Source organism: Homo sapiens, chromosome 6 (assembly GCF_000001405.40).
Source record: "Homo sapiens chromosome 6, GRCh38.p14 Primary Assembly".
Lineage (NCBI taxonomy): Eukaryota > Metazoa > Chordata > Mammalia > Primates > Hominidae > Homo > Homo sapiens.
Window position 1 is genome coordinate 45,432,358 of NC_000006.12, and position 22,073 is coordinate 45,454,430.

At 39.2% G+C, this 22,073-nt stretch overlaps 1 protein-coding gene across 4 annotated transcripts in view, besides 1 other annotated feature; it reads left to right on the forward strand.

The window, feature by feature from the left end:
* The window catches only part of RUNX2 (RUNX family transcription factor 2), a 222,753-nt gene that overhangs the window by 104,028 nt on the left and 96,652 nt on the right, over window positions 1-22,073 (forward strand). For all 4 annotated transcript variants that reach the window (NM_001024630.4, NM_001015051.4, NM_001369405.1 and 1 more), the window contains one exon: window positions 5,590-5,694. In NM_001024630.4, the coding sequence (NP_001019801.3) occupies window positions 5,590-5,694 (105 nt within the window). The remainder of the gene's footprint in view (window positions 1-5,589; window positions 5,695-22,073) is intronic.
* Window positions 13,591-14,092: an enhancer, noted in NCBI's record as "NANOG hESC enhancer chr6:45413685-45414186 (GRCh37/hg19 assembly coordinates)". NCBI's record gives its function as "activates a minimal SCP1, AML or CMV promoter by ChIP-STARR-seq in naive H9 embryonic stem cells {active_cell/tissue: H9 hESC(naive)}" and the evidence as "EXISTENCE:reporter gene assay evidence [ECO:0000049][PMID:30033119]".

A 22,073-nucleotide genomic window follows, 5' to 3' on the forward strand; every position in this document is an offset into this window, starting at 1 on the left:
AGAAAAATGGATATGTTGGATCAATTTCCTGGTAATATCAATTTTGGTCTAAGTTGTAGCAAGGACAGCTGGCATAATGCTCTTCACTTATCACAGGTTACCTCTATATGATTTAATTTACTCTCATAGTAAGAATTTATTAAAAACCATGGTTTTTTTTTAACATAAGGCTTTTCATTTGAATAAGTGAATAATGTATTACTTATGTTAGAGTGACTATGTAAGGTTGCCTAGACAGATGAATGATTAGTACTCTAATATTAATAGTTCCATACTATGTAAGGATTCCCATCATCTGAATCCATATTCAAAAATTAGAGATCCTTAAATAGAAAATTATCCCTTTTAGGGTTTTTGTAACTGTTTGATAAATGAGGTTAATGTTTTTTAAAAAAGTCTTTAAGGAGGCCAATATTTTGGCTTTTATTTACTTATTCTACAGAAAGACTTTTACTAGTTACTCACTATTAGAAGCATTATGCTTATTTATTTACTTAACTGAATCTAATATTTCCATTTTAAGTATTTTGATAAGAAGAAAGAAAATAGACCACTTTAGAACTGAGGTGAAATAAAGCCTTATGGAATCATTGCAACCCAGGTTTGAATAGGAAATGAGGAGCACCACTTTTTAAACCATGTCTAATAATTGCTCTTTAGTTTGGATCAGATGTCAAATTATTACCATTGTAAAAACTTGATAAGGGAAATTCAAGCAAGGCTGTTTCCGATGAGTAGTGTTAGTTTACTTTCTAGGAACAGGGCCAAGAAGTTGTACTTTTTAACTTAAAAAAAATGATTCATGCTAATGAGATACTGTCACTGACATGTTGTTTGAAATAAAATGAGGCTCACAGCCTCCGGTAGAATCAAAACTAAGGGAGTTATCTCTGCATCAGGTTTAGTTAACTTTCATAAAAAGAAGAAAAAAAGACACATCCTATATCACTATTGACTGATTAGGTTTGGAGTATGTGTGTGTGTGTATTCATTCTTCCTTTTTCTCATTTACTTATGCAGGTCCACTATGCAATTAAAGTTTTCCTTTTTTTCTAGTTAGAATCAAGAAAAATGTGAACATGATGATTTACCTGTATGCTCTGAATTGCATCTTTCTTCTTATGTAATAATACTTTTTTTTTTTAACTAGAGTAATGAATTTTAGTTTTTAAAGGATTGGGTGCCATGCTTAATTTTACATTACAGATTCAAACTAGTGTTTTCATTTATCTTACTTTTGTATTATATAGATGCTGCATAACTTTTTTCTGATCAATTTAAGTAGAAAGTATGGCAAAGTGATAGTGTACTTTGTAAACCCTCAACATATTTATTTAAGAAACTTCAAAGAGAAACAAAGGGTGTGCACTGTTTTACTATATTGGCTTTCTGAGTTTTGGCTGGTTTCCCAAATAGCAATTTTTATATTTAAAAAAAAAGACAGACTTAACTGCTTGCAGACTTTTCACGCATGGAAGATGAAGAAAGCTTCTTTTGATGAAGTGTAATTATGTCCAAACAGAGCTGACCCCCTCCCCCTATATTTCTTATGATCTTAACTGAAGAAAGTAGGATTTTTCCTTTGAAGCAGCCGGGACTTGGTGGAGGATCTGAAATGCTACAGTCTGCTGCCAGAGGCAGGATGGAGAAATTGGTCCAGACTTGTCTTCAAGACTTAGATGGGGGGTAGGGGGAGTGGGTGGAGAGAGAAAGAAAAATTGATTTATCACTAATAATATATTTTTATATCACTGCATTAACATTGTATGAAAGGAAACAGTAATATCAAGCTGAGATGAAGAGGAAAAAAGGACAGAGAACACTGATAACAGATCACACTCTGAAAAAAAAATGGGTCAGTTTTTCAGTGGCAGGAAACCCTTTAACCTGCCTTTGTACCCTTTGTACCTGACCTGCTTTATAACAGACTCTTCCAGCTTCCTCTTTGATTTTCACACTTCTACATTTCTCTTAAGCTATTAAGTCTGGATCAACATGCTGCTACCATTGTATTTTCTTTCCCGGCTTTAAATATTTCTATTTTCAGTAGTGTTATAAAAAAACACCAAGTTCCTCAAATATTGCACTTTTTTTTTTCTTTCCACTGGTAGAAACATAAACTCTCAGAAACTGAAAAACAATCTTAGATTATAAAGGAGTCATGTCACTACTGACTTTGACTTTATGGGTCATCTTATGACCACAACTTTTGAAAGTGCTAGAATAAAAGTAGAGCATCAGTGGAACTTGCATTAAGTTAGGAGAGGCTTAAGGTTTTTCATGGTTTTTCCTTTTTTTTATCCTTAATCTTTTAAAGAGAAGTGTTTAAAATGATTTTGGTCCTTAAATTTTTTTTTGGTATGCTTTCTTTTTCCTGATGAAGCCATGGATGACACAATTAGTTATCTACTGACTGCTAGCTCCCTATTTGAGAGCCTACATTTTAAAATAACAGGCTGTATTTTATCACTTATGGAAAGTGATAAAAAGGGGATTTTTGAGAAAAAATTAATTTAAGGAAATCATGAATGCCCACATAAACATTTGACTTAAGAGGTGCATTATTATTATAGGATGAAGAACCAATTACTAAATTGGTTGGTAATTTCTGAAAATTTCTTCAACATTGCATACATATTTCTTCTGAAGGGGCAATAAGAAGCAGAAGGAGCCTCATTCACTTTTGCTGTAGTTGTTAATTACATCTTGATCCTTAGGGTCTGATTTTGGCAGATCATAGTTATACTTAACTACTTGTTTCCTCCCCCAAACCCATCTCTTTTTAAAAGCAGTTTTTTATAGAGAACTCATTCTACTCTGAAAATTTAAATGCTTTATACTTGAAGGGTGAATTTTATTTTTGGCTTTTGTTCCTACATGAGGCGTCACCCTGAATTTAGGGGAAGCATAGATGACTTTTAATATCCTAAGTAAGTTGTAAAGGTCTCAAGTAGAACTGTTACCAAAACTGGTTTAAATAAATTTATGGACAATCTATTTTATCTTTTTTTCTTTTTTGAGATGGAGTCTCACTCTGCCACCCAGGCTGGAGTGCGGTGGCACCATCTCGGCTCACTATAACCTCCGCCTCCTGAGTTCAAGTGATTCTTGTGCCTCAGCCTCTTGAGTAGCTGGGATTACAGGCGTGCGTCACCACGCCCAGCTAATTTTTATATTTTTAGTAGAGACAGGGTTTCACCAGGTTGGCCAGGCTAGTCTTGAACTCCTGACCTCAGGCGATCTGCCCTCCTCCACCTCCCAAAGTGTTGGGATTACAGGCGTGAGCCACCGCGCCCAGCCGACAATCTTTCTACCAGGTTATTTAGAGACATTAAGGATAACTGAGATCTGTATATATCCTTGATTTATTAAGATGAGTGCCATAGATGAAAACTGACTCTGAAACACAGCCATGGGAGCCACTGTTAGAAAGGCAATCCTGGGCCCATAGACCACTAATCTGACCCCAAAATGGCACTTTAAAATGTTTTAGTGTAAATTAACTTTCAATCTAGAGATTCAGCTCTTTTACTTTTTGCGATCTTTCCATTGTTTTGAGGTTCTAACTTGGACCCAGTGGCTTCCTATTCAAGTTTCTGGTTTCTAATTCTGTAGGCTTTTAGTTTTCTGTAACTAGTTTAGACTCCTGGCTGGTTTATTCTTCTGGTTAGTCTTAACGCTTATAATAAAGCCTCTCTTTGCTAACCAATTATAAATTATTTAAATCCGTGTAATAGCCAATATAGTGGATAAAATATATCAATGACACTTTAAAAATAGATGCTTTCATCATCCTGAGATATTGCATTAGTCCATTTATGTTTACTGTTTCTTGGGCACATAGAGCTGATTGGGACGCATCTAGAAATAAATTACTTATTAATTTTTTTAAATGGCAAGTGATCAAGCCACTTAAGGAAGTGGCCAAGTGACAGAATATTTAAAAAAAAAAGAGCATTAATTTTAGGGTCTGAAAAATGAGGTTCAGATCTTCATTTTTTCATTTATTAGTTGTATGAACTTGGGTAAATTACTAAGTCTCTTGAGGCTTCAGCCTCCTTATTTGTGCAATGGGGGTGAGAGATCTAAGCGGGGAGGATTAATTGAGATAATGTGTATGAAGTGGCACTTAATACGTTTCTAATTGTTATTCACCTTTCCCTATTCAAACTGCACCCACCCCATTCCTGTCTTTTCTTTCCTGTTTTTTTCCCCTTGGCTATAGAAAAGTATAGCCAAGGAGACTTAAAACTATTTATACTCAGTAACAAATGATGTGCGTCTTAAACAGATTTTAGGAACTTACATGGTCTAGGTTGAAAAGAAAACCCATTCACTAGACTTGACAGCCAAAGACCTGTTCTCCATTAAGCCTTGTATATAACCTGTTCCATATTAAGCTTTGAAAAGACTGCATTAAACTTTGCATTGGTACATATTGTCAAAGATTTGTGTTTTGGTTTAATACTCTCAGTTTTCAGTAAGGGAAAAAGAATCTCTGACCAAAAAACAAAGCAAAACAAAATGAGCTTTTTAAAGGTCTGTTACAGGAGCAGACTGAATGAGTACTCTGGCCTGAGATTGCTGAATGTTTTATTGAGTCACTGTTTCACGCCCACCTCTTCCTGTCTTGTAACAGTTTGCAGTTTTGACTATCTGACATGATTAACCGTTGCAAATCTAACTGATTACAACTGTTAGTAAGTCTGTGCAACAGAGAATGGTATCTTCTTCTGGAGAAAACAGACATCCAAATATGCTACCAAACTTTTCCCTGTCTCTTTTCCCCTTCTTATTCGTCGCTTTTAGCTCATTAATTTGAAGCATCAGATGTAATATTTCAATGAAGCACACCTTCTGCTAAAAGCAAAATTTGAGTTTATACTGAGAGATGTCATGTTCATTTAGCAAAAAGTAAGTCGCTGTCAGGGGGTTATTTCAAGATTTAACAGCAAGGATGTATGTTAGGGGAGGGGTGGACAGGGAGGAGAAAAACTTTGTTCCAGTAATGATGAAATCATCATACCACAGGCACATTACGGCCAGGACAGGAGACACTGGCTCCTGTTAAAATGATTCCCATAAGAACTTTCCTCTTTTATCTTCTTATTGTAGTGCAGCTAAGCAAATGAAATGCTAAAGCTATGTGAAGTAAATAACATAATCAACAATGATTTACTATTGTTCTCTCGTGAGGTCATGACCCAACCCTAAATAAAGACTTCTAAAATTGTCTGTGCTTGGATGTGTTCCTGATGTTGGAGAAAACTGAAAGAAAAAGAACCTTCCTCAAGTGGACCAGGGTTTTGTTTTCATTACAACTGTTGCTACTGAGGAGCTTTTTTGGAATTGGAGTCTTCCTGTGTAGCACTACAATGAGGACGATGATCTTGACTCTAAGCAAATTTGGAAATGTCCTAAAGTGGTCATCGGAGGGTTTCCAATTTAGAAGAAGGAGTCCTGCCTCTTGTCTTTGTTTCATTGCCTCCTTAGAGATGCTTAAATGCAATTTGGAAATCTATGCTGCTGTGTAATCATCAACACTGTTTTTTAATATTCACTGTATATTTTCCCCTTTTATATCTGCAGGCAAGAGTTTCACCTTGACCATAACCGTCTTCACAAATCCTCCCCAAGTAGCTACCTATCACAGAGCAATTAAAGTTACAGTAGATGGACCTCGGGAACCCAGAAGTAAGTACTCCCCTTTTTATTGAAGAAAGTAATAGAGTTTCCAGAGACCCTATGAGGAATTTATTCCAAATGAGTTAGTGTCACTTTCATGTCCATAGTGTCTTTGTGGACTTTGCTATCTGCATATATTTTTTTTAGTGAGGGAGAGTTAGTCAAACTTCAGAGTTAGTAGAAAATAAAACTACGGTTTTAACCTTTGCCACACAATCACTAAGGCCTCCGTAGCTTTGGGAAATGAGTGAATAATTATTCAGTCACTGTTAACTATTTGCTAAGAAATTTTGCTCATGTACTGAACATAATGGGGCAGAATAGACCCATGAGAGCTGAGGAAGAAAAGAGCAAACTTAAAAATCTTGAGCTTAGTCAAAAAGCACTGGCATGTGTTTCCCATGGCCTAAGAATGTGTTTTAGCTTTTTAACTCGCCCACTCAATTCCCTTTATGAAGAGCACACTGCTTAATTACAAAGAATTTATTTGCAAATGATAACTTGCTTGATTGTTACAACACTGTTGTTTGGTCATGCTCTAGTAATTGTTATAGGTAGTTTTCTTTTAACAGATAGAGTCAAACCACGTTTAAATCCATCTTGGTTTATTTGTCTGTCTGGACATCCAGAAGGTTTCACCGGCAATCAGTTTCAGGTAGCGCACATAATCTACTTGGGCCAATATGTATGTTCCTTCTAAATCTAAAATGACCGAGGTTTGCTTCCCCCACCCCCACCAAAAAACTGCTTTGAACAAACTCAGCATAGCGGTATTTGAATATATTTAGAGATTAAAGATTATTTGATATATAAACCATTAACAATTGTGTGCCAATGGAAACATCATATAGAACTCTGCCTTTGCTGAGTGAATACATTGGAATCCTAACCACTGCATTTAGGGAGGTCAGTTTGGTTTGTGGTGGAGGCATAGCTGGCAGAAGTACTTGTTCTATAACAATCAACCTGCATAGACCATGAGAGTGGCATATCTTTTCTTCCCCTAAAATGAGAGAAAAGGTCTCATAAAGTTTTGCCTCTACCCAAGCAGCATACCTTCCTAGCAGTGGGAGCATATGGTGGGTCCCGTCCCTTTTGCTGCTGTCTCTTTTCACAAAGGCTGACTGCTTGCCTGAACTAGGGAGGTTTCCTGCCTCAAAAGCAAGTCTTTGAGGTTTTTGTTTTCTTCTCCTTTCATGTGTGTGGCATTCTTCCAGGTTCATAATGTTGAGTCAGTGCTGGCCCTGTCTGTTCAGTTTGGGAATGTCCTGTTAGGTGATTGCTGTACACATGTGTGTAAGCACCAAGTCTCTAGTCCTAAGGGCTAGTGGTTATGGAGTGCAGGTGAATAGAACAGAGCTTTGCCTGGTTTGGGGCTTTGCCTGCCTTTTCTGGATAGCCATAAGTTGGGGATGATGCCTTATGATGGAAGATGTCTTCTAACTTTTGGTCAGACTAGCCCCGGAATTCCTGAAAAGGCAGGACGTCCATTTTAGTAATGCACATAGCAGGATAGTTGGTTTTTAAAATGTAGCACCGCTAATACTTATCTCTTAAAGATATTTCCTGCTGATCTCAGCTGCTTTTCTCAGTTCTTGGAAAAACCATTTGCGTGTGTTTGTGTGCGTGTGTGTGTGTGTGTATGTGTGTGTGTATGTTTGTGTGTGTATATGTGTACATACACACAAGAGTTGATGCTCAAAAGTTGATGGCTGGGAGAGGAAAGAGGGAAGGATAGGTGCTCCCTGTTCTGAACGATATGACAATAAGTGAGAAGGCAGGGTAGCTTTGGAAAAGTCACTTCTGTTTCAAGTGTGCATAGCAGTACCTTATTTCAGAGAGGTTTTTGTCCAAATTAGTCAATAGACTAATTTATAAAGGCAGAGAATTGCCTTGTAAAGGCAGAGAAGTGCTCTGAAAGCAGTGAGAGTTAGGAGTAGAGGGGCCAGGTGGTATACGTGGGACCTGAGTTCAAGCTTTGTGTGGTGCCCAGGGTGGGCGGTGGAAGCAGATACAGATCTGCAAGTGGTAGGCCACCTGCCCTAGATAAGCCTGAGTAACATTTCTTATTAACTGAAAATATCGGTGAAAATGCGGGGTCATTTTCCTGACATCATAGGGTGACTTGACGAAGTCAGTGTCTGGAGAGAAGCATGGGTCTGCTTTGAGCGACAGCTGAATCCTATAACCTGGATTCTGTGCTGGATTATTTTTTTCCTCCCTGTTCTTGGCCATCCTGGGCATTGAATATTTGTAGCATAGCCCTCTTCTCAATATGGTTCTTTAATTTTGACACTCCCAGGTGTGGGAAATGCACAATATTTCCAATTTTCTTAAACAGTGAGTATAATAGGAGTTTGATTAGTTGGTGCATATAATGTTAAATGGGAGATCCTCTAGAACACAGACTGGCACACGTTTTCTACGGAGTGCCAGATAGCAAATCCTTTAGACTCTGTGGGCCGTATGGTGGTCTCTGTCACAACCACTCAACTCTGCCATTGTAGCTCAAAAGCAGCATAAGCAAATACATACATTCATGGTCATGGCTATACAGGTTGAGTATCCCTTATCCAAAATGCTTGGGACCAGAAGTGTTTCGGATTTCAATTTTTTTTTTTAATTTTTGGAATATTTGCGTATATAATGAGATACCTTGGTGATGAGACCCAAATCTAAACATGAAATTCATGTATGTTTCATATACACCTTATGCACACAGTTTGAAGATAATTTTATACAATATGTAAATAATTTCGTGGAAGAAACAAAGTTTGTGTTATGTACTTATGTGTGGAATTTTCTACTTGTGGCATCATATTGGTGCTCAAAACTTTCAGATTTTGGAGCATTTCGGATTTTCAGATTAAGGATACTCGATCTGTATTCCACTAAAATTTTACTTATAAAAATAATTGGTGGGCCAAGTTGTAGTTTGTCAACCCTTGCTTATTCAAAGTGGCTTATTTTATTGATCCTTAACAGAGAAGGGCTTTAGTAAAAGGCTTTCCTGGGGCAGTGTTGGGGCAGGGGGAGTGGAACAATTTATATGCAATTGTTTAGCCTCCTCTCCCCCAAATTATAATTCCTTAATTAGTGGTTATTAGTCATAAAAGTAGTATACTTCTGTTTATCACTTATAGTGGCTTGAAGTTGAGGATTTTGTACTATCGGTTCCTGTTGTTGGAATTTCACTCCTTCCTCTAAAGATCTGAATATATATTGAAAAGCCTGCTTCTGGTAGCTCAGCTGTTTGAACAAGGACAAATTCTGGGTTAACTGGTTGGGTCTTTATGTCGGACTGCTTGGATCGAAATCCCAACTCCATCATTTATTAACTGTATGGAGGCAGGCAAGTTACCTAACTTCTCTTTGCCTTGGTTTTCTCATCTTTTATGTGAGAATGATAATACCTTCCTCATCAGTTGCTGCAAGAATGTTAAATATTGTAATGTATGTAAAATGGGTAGCACAGTGACTGTCATGTAGTAAGTGTTCATTAAGTGTCAGCTATTATTACATCAATTTTCTTTAGTGTCAGACGTTGGCTGTAGAGTTTTGCTTATGGTATGCCTCTAGGAAACAGATAACATCTATAGATTCTGTTCTCTAGTATATTACTTTTTTCCCCCTGCAGATGACTTTACTAATTTTTGCTCATTAGTAAATGACACTAATAAGTATTATAAATTATGCCTGAGCAGATATTCATGCTCCTCAGGGAAAGCTGTGCAGAACTGATGATAAATTTAATTTGTTTGCAGCAAAGTCCAAGAGCAGATGCTATGGCACTAGTACCCCACTGTGAGGCCTTGCCTATCAACACATCTGCCAAGACTTGCTTTTCACTCAAAAATCCAAAAGGTTTCATCCTTCTATGTTTTCTGTCTCTGGCAGCTGAACCAGTGCTGTCACATCACAAACAACTTCTTTTCTTAATATACACATCTGGCGTTGGCAGTTGGACTAACTTCATAAGAGCACATGATCATCACTCATTACAAGATTAAAAAGTACCCTATGGCATCATTGATGTTTTTTAACTTTGATCTTTTGCAGTTGTGATTCATCTCGGTTATAAAACTTCCCTTTAAAGGAACATAGCCGATGACTTATTAGAACCTTCATCTTAAGTAGCGTAAACATGAAAATGGTACACATCTTTACAAAATGCCATTTATTTTCTTTGCCAGCTTATCATTTTAAGACATGACATCATACTTAAGATCCCAAATTTGTAAGTCTTGTGTTTAGGCAAGGCATTTTGACCTTCTGTTGGCAAGCTAGCTCTGAAGAACAACTGTCAGCCGGAGAAGTGGTGTAGCAGCAGCAGCAATAGTAATGCATTTAGATACCTAGCTCTTTGAAACATCGGTTTCTATTAGGATCCCTTGTTCCATCTGTGGACTTGGTTCCACCTCCAGTCTGATTTAAATAATTTCTACAGGAATGTGAAAACTTGGTTAGCAACATCATATTCTATAGAAGTGGTTCAGAGTTAGGGAAGAGGACTGATGGGAGAAGGTATTATTTGTTGTGCAGAGGATGGAAAAAGTAAATAAGCTTACATAGGATACTTTAAATTCTCTTGCTGTATTTTTTAGTTGTCTATTACTAAATAATAAACTACCCTCGAATATAACATCCAGTTTATTATTTCTTATGATTCTGTGGGTTGATTGGGGTTCATCTGGATGGTTTTTCTATTTGTCAGGCTTGGGGTCTATCATGTAGCTGCAATCAGATAGTGGCTGGTGCTGGAACATCCCACATGCTTCATTTATGTGTCTGATGCCTTGGTGGGATGGCTGCATGGTTGGGCTCAGCTGGAATGATGCAACAGCAGGCCCCACTGCATCTCTTTCCATATAATCCTGGATCCTCTTCCTCTCCACGTGGCCTCTCCATGTGGTCTTTCCCGCTGAGTCTGACTTCTCACATGGCGGCAGCTCAGGGCTCCCTAAGGTACAAAAGTGAGAGTTCTCAGGCCTTGCTTTTTTTTTTTTTTTTTTTTTTTTTTTTGAGATGAGGTCTTGCCCTGTCATCCAGGCTGGAGTACAGTGCCATGATCATAGCTAACTCCAACCTCAAACTCCTGGGCTCAAGTGATCCATCCTCTCACCTCAGCCTCCTGAGTAGCTGGGACTACAAGTAAGTGCCACTATACCTGGCTAATGTTTACATTTTTTGTAGAGATGGGGTCTCACTATGTTTCCTAGGCTGGTCTTGAACTCCTGGCCTCAAGTGATCCTCCTGCTTTGGCCTCCTGAGCAGCTGGAATTATAGGTGTGAGCCACTGCACCCAAGGATGTTGGGCCTTCTTAAGGATTAGGCTCAGAACTGGCATGGAATTGCTTCCTCTAGATTTGATTGGTTGAAGCAAGACACAGGTGCAGCCTGGATTTAAGGGAAAAAAACCACCAATGGTGTGAATGTTGGGGGATGTGGTTCATGACACCAATGTCATCAACTTACATAAGTGCTTAGCTGGCAGTTGTCATTGTCACAACAGGAAAAATAATTCTTTTCAAGGTGCCATCTTCTGAAAGGACTCTTGGCTTTTTCAATCTAGGGGACATTCAAAGAAAATACTCCAAATTTACTAGTCTAATCGTAGTGTCATTCTGAATTGAACAGATTTGGTAAATATCAGATGAATTAGTGGTGGGTATTCCCTTGTGGTGCTTGGTATTAGCAGATCACTACTCAAGTGAGAAGAACATTAGATGTTTGAACAAAAAGAAGTATGAGCCTTGCCCAGCAACATGACAAGTCTGTAGCAGAAATATCTTATGAATCCTCAGATGGTTAAGATTAGAGGTTTTTTTTCAATTTTTAAAATTTTTTTTCGAGATGGAGTGGCATGATCTTGATCTAGGCTCACTGCAACCTCCATCTTCCAGATTCAAGCAATTACCCTGCCTCAGCCTCCCAAATAGCTAGGATTACAGGTGTGTACCACCATGCCTGGCTAATTTTTATATTTTTAGTAGAGACGGGATTTTGCCATGTTGGCCGACTGATATCGACCTCCTGACCTCAGGTGATCTGCCCGCCTCGGCCTCCCAAAGTGCTGGGATTACAGGCGTGAGCCACTGCGCCTGGCCAAGATTAGAGGTTTTATACTTTGTATCATCCAACTTTGAAATTCTTGCTTGCTGGCACCTTGGCAAACCTACTGCCTGACACATGTGAGTGGGTTTCTAAAAATTTTTGTGTGTCGGGTCTCAGGTAGGTAAACCATATTTACTCTCAAGGAGAGACCAAAGCTGTGAATTGTGTACTTCCTGCCAGGGCACTGGCATTCACCACTGATCAGCCAGCCACCTGTCTCAACCTGGTGGGAAAAAGGAGAAGCTCTGCCTTTTTCCCTCCGGTGATCTAGCTCCTTTCTTGCAAGCTCAGAGTACATGGCTGCAACATTTCTCTGCTTGTCTTTGTGTGTAGCTTCAGTAAGGGTCTGGGGCTTAGGTTAGTGAGAGGTTATCTGGAAGTATAGGGTACTGTTGGTATTTCTAGGCTTGCCTTAGTATCCTGCTTCACTCAGCTTGTTAGGCTTAGGTCCTGCAGCTAAACTATTTTCTTTTCCTGTTTGCTTATTCTCAGTTGTGCCCAATTCATCAACAAATCTGTAATTGTTCAGAGAAGTTTTATTTCTCTGTATTTTTGAGGCATGTCCAATTGCAGAAGTTTTACCTTAACAAACTTGAGTGAACAGACTTAACGAAACAGGTGGTGTAGGCAAGACATCATCTCATTTTTCTCTTACGCTGTTCCACCTAGTTCTGGGACTGCTTTCCAGCCTGGTGAAGGGTGGAGAGAATGGAGGGGTTGACATTTTTCTCTTCCTCATTCCAGCTGATGTCAGCGGCAGCTCGCTTTTATCCTCCATTACTTTTCATCTTAGTTGGGTGAAGGAATAGACTTTTTATGCCAAAGGCTAGCCCATGACTTTTGCTTATTTACCAAAAGAGGATGCTTATTTTATTTTATTTTATTTCAGATGGAGTCTTGCTCTGTCTCCCAGGCTGGAGTGCAGTGGCGGGATCTCGGCTCACTGCAACCTCCACCTCCTGGGTTCAAGCGATTCTCCTGCCTCAGCCTCCTGAGTAGCTGGGATTACAAGTGTGTGCCACCACACCTGGCTAATTTTTTGTATTTTTAGTGGAGACGGGATTTCACCATGTTGGCCAGGCTGGTCTCAAACTCCTGACCTGGTGATTCACCCGCCTCAGCTTCCCAAAATGTTGGGATTATAGGTGTGAGCCACCGCGCCCGGCCCAGGAAGATGCTTATTTAGAGATTGGTCACATGTGAAATAAGGTGAGGGTACATGTAAAATATGTTGGATAGAGGGACAGCAGATGTATTTTTTAAGATTATTTGATTCTTCTGGACACAGTTCTTGCATTCACATTCTTGCAGTCTGTGAGGATGATTTGAAAAAACCTTGATAGCCTTTGTGCCATGCCCCAGATGCTGCAGGCCTGGGTTTTAGTCCTTAGCACAAAGCATTAGTAGAGAAGCCCTTAACTTCCTGACTTTCAGACTTCCCCTGGGTTCTTCACTGTCTCCGAAGTGCCCAAGGAATAGAATTTATGGGTAAATGCCATGTTTTGATATTTACAAGTTGGCAAATACAAGCAGCAATTTGATTGTCATAGATATTAATCACTTGGCTACCAGTATATAAAACATCGTTGAAAATCTTTAACTTAAGAGAATAATAACAGTAAGAAAACCCCACTGTTCTCTGTTTCCCTTTCTTCAAGAAGGATGAGGGGGGCGGGGGGATGGGTCAGAAGCGCTGGTGGAGGTTATGTCTGGTGGTTGGTGGAATGTGCTCTTGAGAAGACCAGTTTTAAATATCTTTCAGTCCTTTTTTTTTGTTGACTGGCTGTCAGGAGCTGGGAAGATAGCCAAGAAGGAAATGACACATCGAGAGGCATTTTGTGTTGTGCAACATTCTGTGGAACTGATGCAAGGATATATGGCCTGTTTACACATTCCTTCGCTCGCAGACTGCATGGCAGTAATTTAATTCAGCAGCACATGGCATGCTGCAGCAAGGAGCTATGGCATTAACATCCTTTCATGGCAAATTATCACAGCCGTTAAAACATGCTCGTGTCCCTCCTTTGCACTCTTCCCTGGCTTCCCAGCTCTGAATATGCGTTTTCATTGTATTGGACTTGTGTTAACAAGGTGCTGTAGCTTTCACAGCAAGAGCACAGTTTCCACATGCATATGTTCCAGTTGATATATTTACTTCTAACTAAATATAGCATGGCAAGTTTTCAAGTGATATGTGTTCTAAAAACACATACATGCTTGATCCAAATGTGTCAGTAGTTTGTATCTTAGTGTAAGTCAGAGATCATTCATTCTGAAAATAGTGTTAGGGACTTGACAGGGACTTGAGAGAAAGAGGTTCCCCTCCCCCCCTTTTTTTGTCTCTCTTTTTTTTTTTTTTAAATAATAATGACCTTTCGTTCTCAAGAAAGATAATTCCTGATAGATCACTGAAATATTCTGTTCACCTCTATTTTGTTTGTGCCATGGCAATTTCTTCAAGGAAGACTAGACCAGTGAATAGGACATACTTAAAAATAGCAGGGAAAAAAAAGATTTGTTGTATTGCTTTTCCCATTCATACCTGTCCATACCTAGCATTTTTATAGGATACATTTATGATGTCAACTAAAGAACATCTTTGGCCTTCACATAAAATCTCTAAAGTTTTTATTTAAGCAGGTATAAAAAATAATTAATTGCTCTTGTTTGTTCAAGTAATTTTGGAAATTAAGAAAAGGCATAAAAACCATTTAGGTCTAAAATATTAATTCAAGATCATATGTAACAGTTAAAATAAAAGACTGTGTTTGTAAGTAGCAAAGGAAGGGCTCCAGTTCTCATAATTTCTCTGCTACTGCACACTGGTGGTGAAAATCTATTTGTTGGAAGACCAAAACTCTTCATTAAAATTTAGGTTTAAGGCTTAAACCCAAGCACCCCTGGAAAAGGTAACTCAGACTTAAATTCTTATTAAGATAAAAACAAGTGACATAGAATCATTTTTTGGGAAGTAGGTTTTGGAAGATAGGGGAGGAGTGGTCAGTGAAATCCTGGGTACTAGAAAGTAAACAGTGAGTGGCAGTGTGCAGCAGGCAGGACCTTTGCCGGCCTTGAGGCCAGTGGTTGCCAACTTCAGGCATCACAGTTTTGCTGCAGGTCAACTGTAGCAATGAGCATTCCTGATGCTTTCCAGTTCTGATATACTCTTAAGAGTGCAAGATTTTGTTATTGAAAGGTGAGAGTTTTAGGGTTCTGTATTTCCATATCTCTCTCTTTTGCAAATGTTTTCCTTTCAGAGTATTCCTTTTCTGTTGTTCTAGATACATGCTAGCTTTCCTACTCTATTGGTTTGCAAGTTATCATTGAATGTGTTTCTTTTATTTTAGTATTATCTTTACCATTTTAATATGTATATTTGTCTTATTAAAATTAATCATGATCTCTGTCCATACAAGAACTTTAGCATTCTTTAAACTGCAGTCTCACCCCCTCTCTTCTAATGTCGTTATCTGATATTTTAGTAGATCCTTGTTTTATATTTCCTGGATTAGTCATTATCGGTGTTTAAAAAATGTTTATACTTGTATTTATCCATTATGTTTATTGATTCATTTGCTTATCATTCCTTCTTTCACCTTAGTTCTTCCTTTTAAGTTGAGTTTGCTTTTTTCTTGATGTAGATCCTTCAGTAATTCCTTCAATGAGAAACTGTTAGTGTGAAACTCTCAGAGAGTTTTTATTCCTGAAAATGTTAGCAGTTGTGTGTGTTAGCTGCTGCCAACATGCGGTGATGTGAGAGGCGTTCTGCTGAAAGCCTGTCTGCTTTGAGTGCCTGAGATCCACACTTCCAGTCATTCCTTTGTATTGAAACTTTCAGGTCATTATTATCAGGTTAGCTGGAGTAGTATTTAAGGAAATGGAACACAGGACAGATAATATTCATGAAAGATGGTGGAAGGGAAATGTTTCTAAGCTCCTGTCACTCTGGAGAACTCTGGAGAGGTCTAGGGTCAGTGAGTGGGGAGGAGGTCAGAGGGAATGTTCCTGCAGAGGAGAAAGCAAACGGGGAGGAAATTAAATCCCTTATTTTACACTTTTGCCATGGGCAGGCACTGAGTTGCTTTGGAACTTTTTATCCAAATTTATGTTAAAGAACTCCACCATTACACTTGCTCTGCAGAGGTCATGTGGCTGTTGCTCCCTGAGCAACCGGAGCAGGAATCCTTAGATATTGGTGTCCACACGTTTCTGTCATTTTGGTGAGAGTACAGGACTCAGAACCACAAGAGCTGTCTTTTGTAGGGTAAACGAATCAACGAATTAAGAAGAGGGAAGAAAATAATGTGTGGACTAGAGGAACATGGTTTAAAAGGGCCAGGAGACCACGATCTGGGGTGAGACTAGCTCTGGGCAAGGTGGATGGGGTGACTCCAGTGCTGGCTCGGTGTGTGTCTTCCTGGGGTTGTGCAGTAGTTGGCAGGTGGGGAAGACATCAGATGACACTGAAGCAAGCTGGTGCTTTCTGCCTTGCCGTGAACTCTCAGAATGCATATGCACCCTCCACAACATGCATTCTCATCTTCTCATTTACCTCCTTGGAGTTAAATTTTATGAGATACAATCTGGGTAAAAACGCTAGCATGTATTTTGGTTGCGGGGGATACTCAGGATGATTAATCTGGGCCTTATGCCTCCTTAGGATTGGCCCAGGAAATTATTAGTAGGCAAAGATGGGCCCTTCAAGGAGATGATGAAGGTACCAAATGCAGGTTGTTCTACAAGAAGTGAGGAGAAATATAGATGTGTAAAAAGAAGGGTGAGTGTGAAGTCTGGGTTACTAATTCTAGAGCTTTGGTTTCTGTTTCACCCCCTCACTGTTTACTCCAGCCTACAAAAACAAGTGACAATGTGTTTTCTACCATGAAGGCTATTTCAGAGTAGCTTAACAGGGAATTAATCTGTAAGGGTAGTTTGTGTTTAAGAGGTGGATTCCCTTATGGCTAAGGGGATTGGAGGACTCAGGAATTCTTCTTTTGAGACCTCATTGCCATCTTTGTGACCTTAAGCAAACCACTAAACTTTTCTCTACTTCTATTTCTTCATCTTTCAAATGGAAATAGACATGAAGGCAACTTCACAAAGTAGCTGGGAGTAACTCCTAAGGAATGATCATAAAGTACTTGGCACACATGAAGGGCAGCTTAAATACCAATTAGTAATTATGTAGCGCCTTTCTGCCAAGGAGTTCCAAATGCTTAGACATTACCTCAGTGATTCTCTGTACATCTCTCTGAGGGAGGCGTTATGCATTTTACACATAGGTAAACTGAGGCATGGACACCTGAGAACTCATTTGTCCTATGTTACTCTGCAAGTCAGCAGATGATTTATAGAGACAGGCAAGGATTCCAGATATTTTCCTGTTTATCCTGTTGCCGTTTGTCAAGTCTGTGTAAGTGTTGGGCCCAGGGGATTCTTGGTTGATGTGATGAAGCAGTGTTACATAAGAAGCATGCTTAATGCTGCAGTAGCATCGCTGAATAGTACAGAAGTCAAAGTTATAAGGCCTGGCACAGAGTGGGCATGCAGTTCATGGACATAGGCATGTTTGTTGAATGAGTATTGAATTCATTTTAACAGCTGAAAACACTGAATTTTGTGAGATGAAAATAATACATTGTATAACTTAACCTCAATAGAATCTTACTTTGAATACCAGTGAAATGAATTTAGTACTTAAAAAAAATTAACTTTAAAAAATTGCACAAGTGAAAAAATTGCACACTAGAAAATAAAAACTAATAATAACAAAGAAGAAGACAGAGATCACTCATAATTGCATCTCCCAAGATTACCACTACTAACATCGTGATGTGTATCTCCCAGATATTCTGTGATAGATAATGCTGGTACTGTTATGAAAGATAACAGAAGTTGGGGAAATAACATCAGGAAAATGATGGAATGCTACAGAATGGCATGACCACATTGAAGCTCAAAGGAGAGCGAATAACTGGAAATGAGGATAATTGCTGTAAGGAAAAGGAGCATGACAATAGAACCGACAATTGTTTCCAGTTAATGGCTGCCTCTGTGATGTGAAGGGCCTGTGCTGCCTGAATGATGTGGGACTAGATGGATCTGAGAAAGATCCGTTCCTCCCCCAACCCTGTCCCACCACTGAAAATACCATCTCCCTTTAAAATAGCTGACAGAGCCTTTTTTTTGGTGACAATTAGAGATGTGTTTTAAAATGTAAATATTTCCGGCATGGGAACATTTATTCATTCAAAAAATTACTTTTGAGTGCTTACTGTTAGCCAGGTGCCAGGCAGGCGTGATCCTCCCTTTGAGGAGCCTACATTCTGTAGAGAAAAAAGGCAAGAAACAAGTAAACAAACATTTCTCTATAATCACATCTAATTGCAAATTGTGATAAGTGCTGTAAAGGGAACTGATGTCATAGTAAAGAGTAATGGAGTGGGAGGGAACAGGATGGAACCTATTGAAGAGTGGTCCAAGGAAGGCCTGTCTGGGGAGATGACATCGGAGCACAGACCTAAAGGGTGAGAAGAAGCCAGTTTGAGGAAGAGTTGGGGGAAGAGACATCAAGGCAAAAGGTACATTGTGTGCAAACCTTGAACACAGTCAGTATCAGAATCTAATATCTAATTTTGCAAGGTGAGAGGGCATTAGCAATGCCTACATGGTTGGGAAGAGGTTGCAAAAAAAGTAGACTGGACTCACACACCCAAAAGTGGCTGTTTATAATTGTACCCAAGGCTGGTGTGGTGTAATTAGAGGAGCACAAAAGGACTCTTCATGTTCATCCCTCCTGGCCCCAAACCACTCTCTTATCATTCTCACCAGGTGCCTGAGATTCTTCTTCGAGTTAAGGCTTCGAGGACAGGATGTTCATAGATGTTATCTACAAAGGATAACACATTCTAAGCCATTTTTGGTGAACAACTTGGTTTAAATAAGTGAATCAAATCAGATTAGCTAGATACTTATTTTATAGCAGAGGACCACAAGACCCAAATTGGTAGGGAAAGCAGGTTGAGAAAGACCTTGAAGAGCTCTGGTGAGAAAAATCGAGTGGGAGGAGGTGGAGGGGGAATGGCTTGTCTGTAGCTGGGGCTCCGTAAGAATTCTGGGTCCCGAATAACATGTTTTCTTAGATGAAGAGCAATAGGAGTGGGCTTGTACTAAAAATAACCCAAACAAAGCTGTAGGCTACCTATATAAGTAGATTCTCTTAGGACTATGTATCATGCAGTAAAGCCTTGGCTTATGTGGACAATGAGAAGCAATCCCGAAGGTGATCTGGGTTTCAAAACATAAGAGCAACATGGAAAACTTCAGAATGTTTAGCGAAGAGCATTGATGATGATTAAAGGCTTGTAAAATTGAACCTATGAGGATAAGTTGAAAGACTTGGGATCGTTTAGCTTCAAGAAGAGGAGACTGAAAAATGACTTAATAACAGACTCAAAATTATGAGAGTTATTAAGCTATGTATGGTGACCAGCTGTTTTGTTTCTGGCAAGGTCAGAGAAAGAATAGGTTTCAAATGAATTAGGTTAGATTTAAAGAAGAACTTCTTGACTATAAGAATTGTTAAATAGTACAGGTTGCTGAAGGATGAGGGCTTGAATGGAGGGCTTTTCAAATACCTTCCATTTTAGTGATTCTCTGTGTGTTTATAAAGTGCAACAAAGTGCCACCTTTCTGCTTTCAAAATCAAAGGCATGATTTCTGTTTTCCATTATAATTCTGAAGCTCAGACTCGCAGAGGTTTGTGGACATAAATAATGAGGGTAATTTGTCTTGACTCTGTGGCCATTAGAATCTTTAATTGAGAAAAATATGACCAAAAAGAGAAACAGATCTGCCATATGATCAAAAAATTGTTACTGATAATCAGAATAGGTGCATTATTAATTTTGGACTGAGGGGGATAATGTTTTATTGTTAGAAAAACCCACGTTCATTTGATTTGTATATTCCAGATAGAAAAGGTAGGGGGCTTTATGAAATTGATTCATTTTTGTCTGTTCCTCCCTATGGGGAGAAATTAAAAACATTTCCAGGTGACACCAAAGTTCGTATAACCTGGAGCTTGAGTGATGCAATCCAAAAATCAACCTCAAGGAATTTATTGTCACAGGGAAGGAAACAGAGAGGAAATAGGCAGGATTTATTTCTGAAAACAGAAACCTTCATGCATTTAAAGACTGGCAGAGAAGTGAAGTTGAGCAGAGCAAGTCTGAGAAAGGCTGGCTGAACACACCATTCCTTTCAGCTTTGGAGCTGGAGCTGCAGGAAAGAAAGAGCCCTGTTTTCAGGGTTAACTTTTCTTGGAGAAGCCAAGCATCAGAGTTTGTATTTTTAAGTTTATTTTTTAATTCATTCTTTTGCTTATTAAATACCTGTCTGAGCAACTTTTGTAATAATTAATTAGTACACCTGCACATGGTTTGCTTTAAGCACTCACTGATAGCTCATTGATGAAACGATGAGAAACAAAGCATGTACACACACACACAGACACACACATGCACACGAGCACAGTGTTTTAGATGAGTTCTTGTTTTGAACTAAGTGCATACAATTTTCTCTAAGGGAAAAAAATAATCAAGAGACCAAAGAAACAGACTTCGAAACAGGTGACACAACAAGGAAGAAGGCTGAGTGGGTGTGGTGCCAGGCTAGGGGAAAGGAAAAATACTCAGAAAGCCTATTTTTCTTTCCTCCCAAAATAACTTGGGCTCCATGGCTCATTAAGAACATTTAGACCCTTAGCCACTACACTTTACCCTTCCAAAGCACCATCACTGGTGGAGAACCACCCACAGTTGAAGATGGGTCAGAAGTCACAACTTGCTTTCTTCCACTGCCCTCCTTTCTTCATTGTCCATGACATTTTCTTAGTGGTCCTTGGCACTTCTGATGTCCTTCTTATGATTTTTACATTTGGGTCTCCCCCACCCCTCCCCCCAAGATGATTTATTTTCAAACCTCTTCTAAAGATTTGTAAAAGCTACAGCTGTCTCTTCATGGGAAAAGCCAACCTAAAGGGGATTAGTGGCCCTCCTTTTTTGCTGTGAGGCCACAGGATTGATAGTGGGAAGGAAAATCAGCTGGAGAGAGGTTTGGTTTCCTCCTGTTGTTTATCTTTATAAAAAAGAACGCTCTTCTCAAACACGTTGCTATAGGAAAGGTCTCTTCATTACCTATGTGGGGACAGTGGAGGGCCAGTTCCATATTTTCTGCAGTAACTGAGGCTGGCTCTGTTTTCCTGAGGAATAAGCTGTGAAACTGAGGATATACTAGGTTATCTGAAGCAACAGAACACCCACTGGTATACCCACAAAAAGTGTTTGATTATCTGTTCTCCCCTGAGGACTTTACTTAAGACTTATAAACCAGTCTCCCTTTCCTTAAGAGGTACTGTGATAGAGACAGAGTGAGAGCTTTCAGTGGTCAGGGCTTTCTAGAAGGCTGGACACATGGCCATGATAATGCCTAAAGCACAATCAAGAAGGATGGAGGCTTTTATGAAGGTCTTGAGATTCAAAGGGAACAAAAGTGGATGGTTTGGAGAGTGTGTCAGTGAAGGTCCTGTGCTTTGATCATGTCTCAGGAGATTCCCCACATTGACTCTCTTTGGGTATTTATGAAAGTCTACATTGTTGGCACAGATCTGATATAGCAAGGAAATTTGCTGGGGCCAGGGATCCAAGAGTTTTTGGATTGTATAATTAGGAAAGCACTGATGGTCCAAAACGCAGGATGAACATTCATTTTATTTTTTACAGAACATATTTTTGTCCCCTTTCTGTATATTATATATTGGTTCTATATTTTGTGAGACCTGGTGCAGCAGTTCCTTGGTAGAGCCAAATAGCCTGAATGAAGAGAAGGAGAGATGCCTCTTCCTTTGCTTTCATTCTAGATTGTGTTGGAGCTATGCTGAGGATGGTGAATAGAGAAACTGATTGTAGTTAATTTGTCACCTCGTAGCCCAGTGGTAGCATTTGAATGGAAGTAAGTTAATGGAAAAGGACTTTGCAAGACATACCAGCCCCAACCACTCATTCTTGCTGAGGGTCAACCCACTGTCAGATATAGGTGGAGAAGCCCTTCTGTGGTATGGAGGCACCATTTCTTTATTCTCTTGTTAGGAAAACTGAAATATAAATAAATAAAAATTTGCAACTGAATTGGAAAAAATCTGACACTGAAGGATGAAATGTAGCTTTCGTAGCATGAGATTTGTGGCACAAACTGACCAGAGGAAGGAAATCTGA